Consider the following 15,762-nt stretch of genomic DNA (forward strand, 5'->3'; position numbering starts at 1 on the left):
TAGGAAAATGTCTTTTAAGTCAGATAATAGGAGAAAAGAATTACAAACAAAAGACCTATGTACTGTCTTTCTTCTGTATTTACCTATGTAGTTACTTGTACTAGTTTTCTTAGTTTCTTCAAGTGAATTGTGTCTTGTGTTTCTGTTTTGAGTCCTTTTATTTCAGCACCAAGGACTTCCTTTAATATTTCTTTTTTTTGAGACGGAGTCTTGCTCTGTCTCCCAGGCTGGAGTTCAGTCGTATGATCTCAGCTCACTGCCAACTCCACCTCCTGGGTTCAAGCGATTCTCCTGTCTCAGCCTCTCAAGTAGCTGGGATTACAGGCATGCGCTACCACACCCGGCTAATTTTTGTATTTTTAGTAGAGAGAGATTTCTCCATGTAGATCATACTGGTCTCGAACTCCCGACCTCAGGTGATCTGCCTGCCTCGGCCTCCCAAAGTGCCGGGATCACAGGCATGAGCCACCACGCCCGGCCCCTTGTTTTCTTTAGTTCTTTGAATGTTTTTATAATATCTGATTTAAAACTGACAGTGACTCTAACATCTGGGCTTCTTCAGGAAGCCTCTTGTCCTTCCAGGTATGAGCTATACTTTCTTATTTGTTCATGCATTTTTGTTGGAAACGGGACATTTAATATAATATAATGGGACAACACTGGAAACCAGATTGCCCCCTTCCTAAGCTTTGTTGTTATTGTGATTGCTGTCTGTTGTTGTTGTTGCTGTTTGTTTAGTGGCTTCCCGGGACGAATTCTGTAAGATCTGTATTCTTTGTGATATACGGCCCCTGAAGTTTCTGCTAGGTAGTTAACCTAGCTACTAGACGTGGTCAGCTAATGATTACATAGATTTCCTTAAATGCTACAAGCCAGTAAGTCTCCTATCATTTGTTGAAGGGCTGTCTATTGTGTATGGAGGGTGTGACTTCAATGTTCCAGCAGGCACTCTAGAACTCTGCCTTAGCAGGCTGGGCACGTCCAGCTGTACATTTTTAATACATTAAACCACTTAGCTGTCATTGACTTAATTTCCTTTCAAGGAAATGGGTAATGCAAACGTGGCTTGAAGGCAGGACCTCTGTCTTATTATCTCTGTATTAACAGGGTCTAGGATAGTGGCTGGTACAAAAAAAATCATTAAAAGTTCCGATGAATAACTACAGATCTTATGTTTGAATTGTGCTTTGCAATTTATAAAGTGCTTTCTCATGATTTTATTCCACAGAGTGTAATTTAATTCAGCAACCTTTCCTGTCCATTAACTACATGCCAGTCACTGTGTCGAATGTCAAGGATAGAAAGATAAATAAGAAAAAGGCTTGCTCTGGAAGGTATTTTCAGTCTACTTGGCGGCACGAGATGCATGCATTAACAAGACAAATAATAGTATGGATATAAGTTCCATGCGAGAGGGCACCATATCGGCCTTGGACCACATTATACTGCAGAGTCTACAAGAATATCTGATACCTAGAAGATGTCTGTGGGTTATTAAACAGGAACACAAATTATTTTACACTCTTTCTTTTGAGAGGTAGGGTCTATTTTCCTTCCCTTTAGATTGGATGGTGATCTGGTTTGGCTGTGTCCCCTCCAAATCTCATCTTGAATTGTGGTTCCCATAATCCCCTTGTGGGAAGGACCCAGTGGGAGGTAATTGAATCATGGGGGTGGGTTTTTCTCATGCTGTTCTCATGACAGTGAATAAGTCTCATGAGATCTGGTGGTTTTATAAAGGGCAGTTCCCCTGCTGCACATGCTGTCTTGCCTGCTGCCATGTAAGATGTGCCTTTGCTCCTCCTTCGCCTTCTGCCATGATTGTGAGGCCTCTGCAGCTATGTGGAACTGTGAGGCCATTAAACCTCTTTTTTTTTTTTTTTGAGATGGAATCTCGCTCTGTCGCCGAGGCTGGAGTGCAGTGGAGTGATCTCAGCTCACTGCAACCTCTGCCTCCCAGGTTCAAGCAATTCTCCTGCCTCAGCCTCCCAAGTGGCTGGGACTACAGGTGTGTGCCACCACACCCAGCTAATTTTTTAGAGACAGTGTTTCACCGTGTTAGCCAGGATGGTCTTGATCTCCTGACCTTGTGATCCGCCTGCCTTGACCTCCCAAAGTGCTGGGATTACAGTCGTGAGCCACCGTGCCCAGCCTAAACTTCTTTTTCTTTATAAATTACCCAGTCTTGAGTATGTCTTTTTTTTTTTTTTTTTTTTTGAGACAGAGTCTCGCTCTGTCTCCCAGTCTGGAGTACAGTGGCATGATCTTGGCTCACTGCAACCTCCGCCTGCTGGGTTCAAGAGATCCTCCTGCCTCAGCCTCCCGAGTAGCTGGGATTACAGGCACCCACCACCATGCCTGGCTACTTTTTTGTATTTTTAGTAGAGATGGGGTTTCACCATGTTGGCCAGGCTGGTCTGGAACTCCTGACCTCAGGTGATCCATCCACTTTGCCCTCCCAAAGTGCAGGGATTATAGGTGTGAGCCACCATCCGGGGCCAAGTATGTCTTTATTAGCAGTGTCAGAATGAACTAATACGGATGGGCCTTGTGACTGCTTTGGTTACTGGAATACAGCATAAGTGATGCTGTATTGGTTTCAAGGTTCAAGTCTTAAGAGACCATCTGTTTCCATTTTTGGTTTCTTGGAACATTCAATCTTGAAACTAAGCTTCCTTGCCAGAAGGAAACTCAAGTATCTTTGAGGAGAAGTCCACATGGAGAGGAACTGAGGTGCCTAGTAGATAGTCCCAGCCAACAGCGTACCTCAACTCACCAGTCATGTGAGTAAACCATCCTAAAAGTGGGTATTCCGGTCCCAGTTAGGCCACCCCAGCTGACACTGCACAGAGCAGAGATGTGCTGCCCCGTGGAGCCCTGACAAAATTGTAATTTCAGAAATAAAATAAATGGCTATTATTATTTCAAGCCACTGAGTTTTAGGGTGGAGTTTAAAACAGCACTAGATGGTCACAACCATGTTGAATAAATATTTGTTGACTGCCTATGATTGTTGGTAATCTGTGCTTTTTGGAGGGATGGGGTAACACACATTATCCCATTTAATCTTCTCAACAATTCTGTTGATGAACCAACTTGCCCAAGATCATACAGCTAGTAAGTGGTAGAGGTGGGATTAGAACTCAGATCTTTCTGATGTCAGAACTAGATTTCCATCTCTATTTTCACTATGCCATGTCACCTGTCCCTAAAGAACTAGAATCCTGAGTAGCTGGGATTATAGGCATGTGCCACCATGCCCAGCTAATTTTTGTGTTTTTGGTAGAGACGGGGTTTCCCATGTTGGCCAGGCTGGTCTCGAACTCCTGACCTCAGGTGATCCGCCCATCTCAACCTCCCAAAGTACCGGGATTACAGACATGAGCCACTGCGCCTGGCCAACATCGCCTCTCAGCTGGGAGGTCATCTGGGCTGCATATGGCCTCTCCATATATCTCTTCACATGGGTGAATTTGGGCTTCTTCGGAGCATGGTGGCTCTGTGAGTGTCCCAAGAGAGCAAGGTGGAAATACATGGCATTTTTATAACCCAGAAGTCAGAAACCTCAGAAGTCACAGTTTTTCTTCTGCCATGAGGCAGTCATGAATAACTTCCCTGGCTCAAGCAGAGAAGAAGACATAGATTAAATGGTAGATATTGTGGTAGCCATTATTGGTAAATATGACCTGCTACAATGCATCTCATCGACACATTCTAAGAAAATACAAACCTCACATCCAGATCTTTCCTGTGGGTTCTTGCTAGAATGTCAGGGTGGGCAGTTGTGATGGGGGTTAAATTTGTAACACTCAGCAACACTTCTTTAAGTTATCTTTCTTGGGGGTTGGATGGACATGGTTGGCTGAGCACATGCTTTTACTACTACTTTCATTTCCAGTCCCTAGCAATGACAGAAAAGAAATATTTAAAAATATAGACTCATAATAGGGCTGGAACACTGAAGGTGTTCATGGACCATTAATGTTGAAGAATCTCGGAAGGACAGAAAGCCTCAATTTGTTGAAGAATCAATTTGTTAGAGTAAAAAAAAAAAAAAAAAAAAAAAGCCCAAAACATGTGCAGAAGGGGGCAGCTGTGAATAACAGGAATTTTTCTGGGAGTTTCCCAACTTAGAGAAACAATGAAACTGAGGAGCAAGATGAGGCTTTGAAGTTTTCATGAGGGTGGTTGAGAACTGGCATTGAGACCAAGACAGGTTGACCCTTTCCTTTATCCATTATTTTGCCAAGCAGGAAGCAGCAATGGCAATTGGCCCCAGACCAGAGCAGTGTGTCTTGGACTTGGGTGGGAAAAGCAACATACAGGAAAATATGGGACAGCGTCCTAGGCAGCTGGTGGAACCCAGGAATAATGGAAGGCCCCCTCATCCCAAAAGACAGCTTCTATACTGTATTCCCACACTTTTTCTTTTCATCATCACTGGCCCCAGTCATGCAACAAACTTCCCTCAAGTCAATAAAAGCAAAACCATTAAAGAAAAGCTCCAAGCTCTATAGAAACTGCACTAGCATTTAAGGAAATGGAAAGGAGTTTGATAGAAGTTGTTCAGTGTGCCCAGGAAGACAAGATCATACAGGATCCATGAAATAAGACGTAATAGGCCGGGCGCGATGGCTCACGCCCGTAATCCCAGCACTTTGGGAGGCCGAGGCAGGCAGACTGTCTGAACTCAGGAGTTCGAGACCAGCCTGGGCAACATGGTGAAACCTGTCTCTACTAAAAATGCAAAAAATTCGCCGGGCGTGGCAGAGTGCATCTGTAGTCCCAGCTACTCAGGAGGCTGAGGCGGGACAGTTGCTTGAACTCGGGAGGTAGTGGTTGCAGTGAGCCGAGATCACACCACTGCACTCCAGCCTGAGCCACAGAATGAGACTCCGCCTTCAAAAAAAAAAAAAAAGAAAGAAAAAGAAATAAGACGTACCCTGCCCATGTACCCTTACTGTTTCCATTTTGGTTCACGGTGACCTGATTCCAATTGCCAGTACCTGCATTTCTTTCCCTGAGGTATTCCCCCCTCCTTGTCCTCTTGTCATCTATGCCAATTAGTGTGGCATGCCTAAAGTGATGAGGAATTAGCACCCTCTATCCTGGAAGCAGCCCCTCCACCAATTACCAGTGGGATCTGGTATAAATACCCCAGTTCCCTGACCCCTTGGGCGGAACGACTCTGAGACGTCGGTTCTACACTGGCTTCCAGAGTTCCCAGCATGATTAACCACGGAGAATGACTTGACAACACATCCTTCACTGGCTGCCTTCCCTTCTCCATCTTACTTCCTTACTCCCCTACCGGCGGCTCTTGGTATCATCTCCCAAATGCCCTCAACTCCCACTTGTATTCATACTGTTTTTAGGGGTTTGCTTATTGGAGAACCCAAGCTAAGCCAAACGGTCATCTATGCAAGTAAGAGTCAGCTGTGAAAAAGAAAGCAGGCAATGGACTGAAAAACATAATGAACGCAGATGGAGAAAGAGTTAGCAAGATGCGGAAAATACGAAAGAAAAGTTAAGTGACGTGGATGATAGATCCAGAGATTTCAATATCTGTCTAAAAGAACAGAAATAGTTCAAAGAAAGGAGTAATCCAAGAAGTAATAGAAGAAAACCTCCCCAAGCTGAAGAAAAACACACATCTTCAGACTGAACGGGCTATGAATGAAGAACATATTTTTCATATACATGTCATTCACCACACCCAGCTAATTTTGTGTATTTTTAGTAGGGACGGGGTTTCACTATGTTGGCCAGGATGGTCTCCATCTCTTGACCTTGTGATCCGTCCGCCTAGGCCTCCCAAAGTGCTGGGATTATAGGCATGAGTCACCACACCCAGCCTGCTCTTGCTGTTAACTGTACTGCCTTTCTGAGGCATCACGTCTCACCTCTGGTCAACCAGTAAAAGCCCAGGGATAGAAAATGAGTAGGACATATTTAGAGGACAGCATGGAGAAGAGCAGAGAAGAACTGGAGAATTAGGATTGGAGCTGATGAAAGTTATGAACACCAAAGGTAAGAGAAAGTCTTCAAGGTTTTTGAAGGTAAAAAGCAGATCACCTACAAAAAATGAATTTTCATAGGGCCAAAAATTGCATTAGCTACACTGAATGCTAAAAAACAATGAAAAAAATCTTTTATTTGTTAGGAAAATATTTGGAACGTAAAATTCTATGCCTCACCAAAAATCATTTATGAGGGGGGAAGATGAAGACATTTCTAGACATGTGAGGGCCTAGATCCAGAGTCCCTTTCAATCAAAAAGAAAAGTGAATTCAAGAGCAAGGCTTCTAGTACAAAAAGCAGGGATCCAAGCCCTGACCCTCCCCCAGGATTCTGCTTAACTCCTATCTCCGTGTGCTGGTGTCCATCACAGGGTCCCACAGAGGCTGCCCTGGTGAATTCTTCTTTTTCCTGTTCTGCCAATTTGACATTTAATCACACACCACCTGGAGAGATCACTTTACTGTTACAGCAAAGCATCTCCCTTTTGCATTGCAGCTTCTCTATTCGTGTATCTGCATTGCCTTCCTGCCTAGATTACAAACATTCAATCACAAGGACGCTATCATACATCATCAATAAATATTCACTGAGCTTTAAAGAAATCAATCTCTCATTTCCCATAGCATACATCCCTGCTGCTGCCATGTTCTTTTTTGCCATCTGAATCGCTCTCAACGCCTTCCCAAAGCTCAACCTGCCACTTTTCTCCTCTCCTTCGCCCCCTTTCCCTCTTCCCAGGTCTGTTTTTCCCTGCTCTCACCCCTCAGCTCTTTCCCATGCCACAGATGTTGAGCTCTGTGGCTTTTCCAGCTGCTCCCTTGTGCTCCTTCTCCTGATCACTATAATCAAAACCAAGAGCCAAGAAGGTGGAGGGTTCATCAAGAGCCCACCATGAGCCAGGCAGTGTTCTAAGCCAATCATGTAGATTAATGAATTTGCTTCTCACAGCTGCCCTATGGGAGCAGAACAATTATACCTCTCATTTTTCAGATGGGGAAACCAAGGCACAGAGAGGGGAAGTAACTTGCTCAAGGGCTTATGGCAGATGAGAGGCTCTGACCTGAACAGTCTTGCTCTTGCTTTTTTTTTTTTTTTTTTTTTTTTTTTGAGACAGAGTCTTGCTCTGTTGCCAGGCTGGAGTGCAGTGGCACAATCTCGGTTCACTGCAACCTCCGCCTCCGGGTTCAAGCAATTCTCCTGCCTCAGCCCCCCGAGTAGATCGAACTACAGGCACGCACCGCCATGCCCAGCTAATTTTTTGTATTTTTAGTAGAGACGGGGTTTCACCATGTTGGCCAGGATGGTCTGCATCTCTTGATCTTGTGATCCGCCCACCTCGGCCTCCCGAAGTGCCGGGATTACAGGCGTGAGCCACCGCACCCGGCCTGCTCTTGCTTTTAACTGTACTGCCTTTCTGAGTCATCATATCTTGCCTCTGGTCAACAAGTAAAAATCCAGAGATAGAAAACGAGTAGGACATACTTAGAGGACACGTGGAGAAGAACAGAGAAGAATTGGAGAATTAGGATTGGAGCTAATGGCAGACAACAAGTGAAAACTAGTTTGAAAATTGGGGTACACACAGAGCAGGAATATGAGACATGTAACATAGTTGTGAAGTTTACAAAGCATGTCTGCACGTTCATTTTACATTTCGGTTGGCCCTGACAGCAATACTTTGAGAGAGGATTGAAGGGAATCATTGTCTTTCACATTTTACATATGAGAAGTCTGATGCTCAGAGAGGTTAAGTGACTTGCTTGAGGCCACACAGCCAAGAAATGGCAGAGCAGGCACTTGAACATGGAAACTCCCTGACTCCAGGCATGAATAACTAGCACATCAGGTTCTAAGTGGAGGTACAAAATGCCAGTCAGTGTTTAAGAAATATTTGTGTGTGTTTTGTTTTTTTTTGTGTGTGTGTGTGTTTGTTTTTTTTTTTTTCTGAGACAGAGACTTACTCTCTCACCCAGGCTGAAGTGCAATGGTGCGATGCCTCACTGCAACCTCCGCCTTCTGGATGCAAGTGATTCTCCTGCCTCAGCCTCCAGGGTAGCTGGGATTATAGGCGCCTGCCACCATACCCAGCTAATTTTTGTATTTTTAGTAGAGACGCGATTTCACCATGTTGGCTAGGCTGGTCTCGAACACCTGACCTCAAGTCATCTGCCTGCTTCAGCCTCCCAAAGGTGCTGGGATTACAGGCATGAGCCACCGCTCGTGGCCCAAGCAATATTTGTTAACCAATTCTCTGCAGTGACAAAACATCCTGTTTCTATTAATATACATATAGAGACCAATGGTATTCTTGGCTAGCGTTTACAGGGGAAGGATTTCCTCCCCCACCCAATCAAGCCCAAGCACTACTGCCCATGCAGTGCCCACCCCCCTCCAAACCATGCAGGTTTGGGATGAGACTGGGCGAGAGAGGAACGAGAGAGGGAAGGAGCAGGAAAGCAAGACAGGAGACTGGAGAATGCACTTCCCATGACACAAGGGTGCCTCCCATTCCATTTCATGAGATACTTTTTTTTTTTTTTTTGAGATGGAGACTCGCTCTGTCACTCAGGTTGGAGTGCAGTGGCATAATCTCAGCTCACTGCCACCTCCACCTCCCGGGTTCAAGTGATTTTCCTGCCTCAGCTTCCTGAGTAGCTGGGATTACAGGCACCCACCACCATGCCCGGCTAATTTTTATATTTTTAGTAGAGATGGGTTTTTGCCATGTTGGCCAGGCTGGTCTTGAACTCCTTACCTCAGGTGATCTGCACACCTCAGCCTTCCAAAGTGCTGGGATTACAGGAGTGAGCCACCGCGCCCGGCTTCATGAGATACTTTTGAGATGCTGTGCATCTTTATTTTTTATTTTTTATTTTTTTTTGAGATGGAGTCTCACTCTGTTACCCAGGCTGGAGTGCAGTGGTGCAGTCTCAGCTCACTGCAACCTCTGCCTCCCAGGTTAAAGCGATTCTCCTGCCTTAGTCTCCCGAGTAGCTGGGACTACAGGTGCATGCCACCACGCCGGCAAATTTTTTGTATTTTTAGTAGAGACAGGGTTTCACCATGTTAGCCAGGATGGTCTTGATCTCATGACCTCATGATCTGCCTGCCTCAGCCTCCCAAAGTGCTGGGATTACAGGCGTGAGCCACCATGCTCAGCCGAGATGCTGTACATCTTTAAGTTACCTAATAGGTAGGGTAGGCAGGGAGGGGAGGAGGGGGCGCTGTGGTAGAGACCAAGGCAAGGGCCCCCTGACGTCTCGGCTCACAGTGCAAGAGGCTTGTATTTTCAGGCATGTTGCTGCAAAAACACATGGTGGCCCATGTAGCCCCAACAGCCAGAAAGCAAGTACCCAGATGACACTTCAGCCTTTTACTCCCCTCTCGGGTGTGGGGCAAAGACCTTGTAAAGCAGCAGTCCCCAACGTTTTTGGCACCAGGGACCAGTTTTGTGGAAGTCAATTTTCCATGGACCGGAGATGGGGGGATGGTTTCAGGATGATTTAAGCACGTTACATTTATTGGAGACTTTATTTCTATTATTATTACATTGTAATACATCATGAAATAATTATACAACTCACCATAAAGTAGAATCAGTGGGAGCCCTGAGCTGGTTTTCCTGCAACTAGAGGGTCCCATCTGGGAGTGATGGGAGACAGTGACAGATCATCAGGCACTAGATTCTCATAAGGAGCCCACAACCTAGATCCCTCTCATGCTCAGTTCACAGTAGGGTTTGTGCTCCTAGGAGAATCTAATGCTGCCGCTGATCTAACCGGAGCTGGAGCTCAAGCAGTCATGTGAGTGATGGGGAGCGGCTGTCAATACAGAAGAAGCTTCACTTGCTCGCTTGCCCACTGCTCGTGTCCTCCTGTGCAGCCTGGTTCTTTTTTTTTTTTTTTTTTTTTTTTGAGATGGAGTCTCGCTCTGTCGCCCAGGCTGGAGTGCAGTGGAGTGATCTCGGCTCACTGCAAGCTCCACCTCCTGGGTTCACACCATTCACCTGTCTCAGCCTCCCGAGTAGCTGGGACTACAGGTGCCTGCCACCACGCCTGGCTAATTTTTTTTGTATTTTTAGTAGAGATGGGGTTTCACCGTGTTAGCCAGGATGGTCTTGATCTCCTGACCTCATGATCCGCCCGCCTCGGCCTCCCAAAGTGTTGGGATTACAGGCGTGAGCCACCGCGCCTGGCCGCAGCCTGGTTCTTAACAGGCCTCAGACTAGAACTGGTCCATGGACTGGGGGTGATGGATCCCTGCTCTACAGGACAGTCACAGAGAGGACCAGTCCCCTGGGGGCCAAGTGGCCACCACAGCTGCCCACTTCCCTGCCCCACGTCCCTTCTGATCATTCTGAAAGGTTCCTTCAGCCAGTGTTTTCTTTTTATTTTTGAGATGGAGTCTCACTCTGTCACTCAGGCTGGAGTGCAATAGCGCGATCTTGGCTCACTGCAACCTCTGCCTCCTGGTTGCAAGCAATTCTCCTGCCTCAGCCTCCCGAGTAGCTGGGACTACAGGCACGAGCCACCACACCCGGCTGATTTTTGTATTTTTAGTAGAGATGGGGTTTCACCATATTGGTCAGGCTGGTCTTGAACTCCTGACTTCGTGATCTTCCTGCCTCAACCTCCCAAAGTGTTGGGATTACAGGCGTGAGCCACCACACCCGGCCTCAGTCAGTGTTTTCTGAGTATCCAGTTCTCACCTGGCCCTGGGGAAGCAAAGAGGAATATGGCTTTGTCTTCATTCTTTGACAAAAGGGCCAGACATGCAATCCATACCTCCAGTCCAGGCAAAGACAGGAAGGGAGGAAGCAGGGACTCACAGGGTCCTGTCGTCGGGGCACAGGGAGGGATGTGGTGCTATGGGACAGAATCGTGGCTCCCTAGCTATGTGACCCTTGGCACATGATTGGACTTCTTTAGGTCTCCCTTGTTAGTAACTGGGGAGCTTTAATAAGAGTCATTGTGCAGGGTGGCTGGGAGGGCAGGGCAGCTGTTTACTAGCCCGTGGCGGCAGGGAGCAGAAGCTTGGGACGAGGAGCCTGGGACTGCGACGGGCAGAGACGGGGGTTGGGACCCTGGAGGAGGAAGGGGGGAAGGGTTAAATGAACAGAAGGCCACCCTCTCTTATTCCTCCCCCAGTGGCTGGGGGCCAGAGAAAAGAGATTTGGACAGGAGGGAGGGAGGACAGGCCCAGCGGGAGGCAGATTGGGGTCGGGGCCACGTGTGTTGGCCGGCAGCCTGTGGACCTTCTTTGGGTCCAAACTGCCCTCCCACCTCTGCCCAGGCAGGCAGCTTCCTGCCAGGCTGGGAAATTGCTTTGGCCTGGAATTTTCTGCTTGGGGGTGTGTTTTTGGAGCCAGGTTCGCTGTTAGGAATCTCCAGTTACCAACATTCCTGAAACAGACCCAAAGGAGGCCGACCCCAGTTTTGCAGACTCCGGTGGGAAGTGGGAGGCAGAGGCGGGGCTGGAGGTGATGGCTGTGCTAGACACCTCTAACCAGCTCTGGGGTCGCCAAGCCAGGGCCACTGTCTTTCTTCTCACTGGGCATGCTTTGAAGACAACCTTTTTTTTTTTTTTGAGACGAAATCTAGCTGTGTCACCCAGTCTGGAGTGCAGTGGTACCATCCTGTCTCACTGCAGCCTCTGCCTCCCAGGTTCAAACGATTCTCCTGCCTCAGCCTCCTGAGTAGCTGGGATTACAGGCACGTGCCACCATGGCTAATTTTTTGTATTTTTAGTAGAGATGGGGTTTCACTGTGTTAGCCAGGATGGTCTCAATCTCCTGACCTCGTGATCTGCCCGCCTTGGCCTGCCAAAGTGCTGGGATTACAGGCATGAGCCACCGCGCCCGGTCTAATTTTTGTATTTTTAGTAGAGATGGGGTTTCACCATATTGGCCAGGCTGGTCTTGAACTCCTGACCTCAAATGATCTGCCCGCCTGGGCCTCCCAAAGTGTTAAGATTACATGTGTGAGCCACCTTGCCCGGCTGGAAGACAACTTTGATAAAAGGAGCTTATAGGTGAATACTCAGCCCAGAAGTGTGCCTGAACCCTGGAATGCCAGAGCTGGGAGGGACCTCAGAGGGCATCTGCCCTGCCCGGGGATTTCAAACTTTTCCCAAAGTCAGCACTCGTCCGCGTGTGAGAGTCCACACACAGACTGGTCTCACCATTGTATTCCACTGCCGGATAGAGAGAGCCAGCCACCTGCCACCATCCCCCAGCAAGCTGGCTGGGGGTCTGAAGGGCTTCCCATGATTGACACTTCACCTTTGGGGAGTTTGCTAGACACATGGCAATGCCATCCTGTAGAATAGGACAGATTATCTTCCCCATTTTCCCAATGAAGAAATAAAAGGTCAGAGAGGCAGAGAGACCCCAATAAGGTCAACTTTACTGGTCTACAATTTACTAGTCAACAAGGTCTAGTTTATACAACAAGTCCTAGTGTACTGGGACCCAGGTCATTTGTCCCAGGGACTGTGCTCATCCCACTGACTCAGCGAGTCTCTTCGAGGATTCTCGGCGTGCTCTAGCCTTATAGATTTTGCTGCCTTTTCAAAGCAGCTCAAATCCCAGCGGGCTCCTGAGAATGTCACTTCTGTGCTGCAGGTGCAGGTGTCTGTGTCTTCCCTTGGATTTCAGCTACCTATGTCTCAGCTGTGCCCAAGTAGATTGATTTGGGTTAAAACTGTGAATTGATGTAAACTTTCATGATGTGAAGTAAACAGTGCAGGCACCGTGACTGCAGATCTAGGTTTGAGTCCCGTCTTTGACTTTTGGTACTAAGTGACCTTTGTTAGGTCAATTGAAAAAATATATATTTTCTGTCAAGAAATAAAAATCTAAAGTGTATAAAATGGGCCGGGCATGGTGGCTCATGCCTGTAATCCCAGCACTTTGGGAGGCCGAGGCGGGTGGATCACCTGAGGTCAGGAGTTCGAGACCAGCCTGACCAATATGGTGAAACCCCGTCTCTGCTAAAAATACAAAAATTAGCCGGGTGTGGTGGTGTGCACCTGTAATCTCAGCTACTTGGGAGGCTAAGGCAGGAGAATCACTTGAACCCGGGAGGCGGAGGTTGCAGTGAACCGAGATTGTGCCATTGTACTCTAGCTTGGGCAACAAGAGCGAAACTCCATCTCAAAAAATAAATAAATAAAATAAAGTGTATAAAATGAAAAATAAATGGTGGTGTGAGCCTGTAATCCCAGCTACTTGGGAGGCTGAGGCAGGAGAATCACTAGAACCTGGGAGGCAGAGGTTGCAGTGAGCTGAGATTGCGCCATTGCACCCCAGTCTGGGTGACAGAGACTCCATCTAAAAAAAATTAAAAAAAAAAATTCCCCTCCTTCCTAGTCCCCCAGCTTCCCTTTCCAGAGGCAATGACTTATCAATTTATTGTGTCTTCCACAGACACCCAGTGAATATGCAGGTGTTTTGTGCCCATTTGTAAGATGAAGGATAACCGTCCTATAAGAAGTGAGACCCCCGGGGAACATCCAGGCTTCATGGTAACTCCTCGGGTCTGTGTTCTGCTGCCCCTCTTCTCCTCTGTGTCCTGAGCTGGCTGGGAGGGTAGGTGTGAGTCTGCAGAGAGGCCACCAACAATTGTCCCCTCCCTGGTTAAGCACGCTGCTCCTCCCATCACAAGGCAGAGTCTACCCCCCTCCCTTTCAATCAGGACAGTCATGTGATTGATCTGAACAACTGAATGCGGCAAAAATGCCAATTCTAAGCCTACTCCTTAAGAGATCTGGCAGTTTCCACTTCTGCCCACTTAGGACTTAGCTGCCTGAACTAAGAAGGTCCAGGCCATCCTGATGGAGAGAGAGGTCATTTGGAGAATGGAGAGAGAGCCCCAGAGGATGAGACACCATCCTATGGAGGAGTGAGGCCCCCAACCCAGACAGCCAGCACTACTGTCCCAGACATGCCTAGAGACACCTTCTCCTACTGTCCAGCCCGGCCCAGCCCAGGTCAGCCTCTAGCTGAATGCAGCTGCATGAATGACACTAGCTGAGCCCTGCTCCAATTCCTACCAACAAAATCATGAGAAAATATAAACCATTGTTTAAGCCATTAAGTTTTGGAATGGTTGGTTATGCAGTGTTGGTTAGCTGATACACTTTTTTTTTTTTTTTTGAGACAGAGTCTTGCTCTATTGCCCAGGCTGGAGTGCAGTGGCACTATCTCAGCTGACTGCAACGCCTCCTGGGTTCAAGCTATTTTCATACCTCAGCCTCCCAAGTAGCTGGGATTACAGGTGTGTGCCACCATGCCCAGCTAATTTTCGTTTTTTAAGTAGAGACAGGGTTCCACCATGTTGGCTAGGCTGGTCTCAAACTCCTGACCTCAAGTGATCCTCCTGCCTTGGCCTCCGAAAGTGCTGGGATTACAGGCGTGAGCCACCAAACCCGGCCTGATACACAATTGTCTATGGGAGAAGCACAGTGAATGCACTCTGATTTAGCAATCTTATTCTCTTGAATGGTTTGTGCTTTTTATGTCTTAGGAAACCTTCCTTGGTCCCAAGATATTCTATAGAGACTTTATTTTGTACTTTTCTTCTAAAAGTCTTTTCTTTTTTTTTTTTTTTTGAGACAGAGTCTCACTCCGTTGCCCAGGCTGGAGTGCAGTGGCACGATCTTGGCTCACTGCAACCTCCGCCTCCTCGGTTCAAGCGATTCTCCTGCCTCAGCCTCCAGAGTAGCTGGGACTACAGGCATGCGCCACCACGCCTGGCTAATTATTGTATTTTTAGTAGAGACGGGGTTTCACCATATTGGCCAGGCTAGTCTTGAACTCCTGAGCTCAAGTGATCTGCCCATCTCGGCCTCCCAAAGTGCAGGGATTACAGGCGTGAGCCACCACGCCCAGCCTCTAAAAGTCTTAACGTTTTGCCTTTCACATTTACATCTGGAATTGATTTTGTTATGCGGTGAGGAAAGAATCTTTTTATTTTTCTCTTTGGGGACTCACCCCCCACTCCATTTGCAGGCCTGTTGGGAGGTAGGCTCATCTTAGAGGAACAGACCCTGGGCAGGCTGTGACACAGGGCTCCAGCAACAAGCCGCAGAAGCGGAACTCATAACATGTGGCATTGGCATTCCCTACCATTACTGATTCAATGCCATTCCACGGTGGCCCTGGGTCATGGACCAGCTCATGTTGGGCTAATGTCCCAACACACACAAAGATGGTAGGTTTGACTAAGCAAGAGGCAGTCCTTAGGTGAGGTTGCAGGGAGAGGGAAGAGGGCTTGGTGAAGAATAGAAGACCCATGAAGAAGGGGTGTGGTCTTGGTGACCACGTGATCCCATAGTATTCCCATAGACACTCAAGACAGCTGGTAAATTGAGCTGCTCCCCAGAGGAGGCCAACAGACAGGCTGGACAATGACTGGGGTCTGAGCAGAGACCCCGTCTCCCTTCTGCTGCACCTGCTGCAGCTTAACATTGACTAGACTACCAGGCTCAGCCTCAGCAAGGCCCCCACCTGGCTCTGGGCCTGGTGACCAGGGAAGGTGGGAAGAGAGGGGGCTCATCACTTCCTACAGAAGGAAGCTCAGACTTCCAATTTCGTGTGGCATAAGAGCATGGGCTCTGGGCAACACTGCCTGGATTAGTATTCAGCTCGGGCCCTACTCGTGGTATAACTGGGAGTCACTAATTTTATCTCTGGGCTTCACTATAAATGGGATCCTAATGGCAGTCTACCCAAGCAGGGTA

This window comes from Homo sapiens, chromosome 22 (genome assembly GCF_000001405.40).
Source record: "Homo sapiens chromosome 22, GRCh38.p14 Primary Assembly".
NCBI classification, from domain to species: Eukaryota; Metazoa; Chordata; class Mammalia; order Primates; family Hominidae; genus Homo; species Homo sapiens.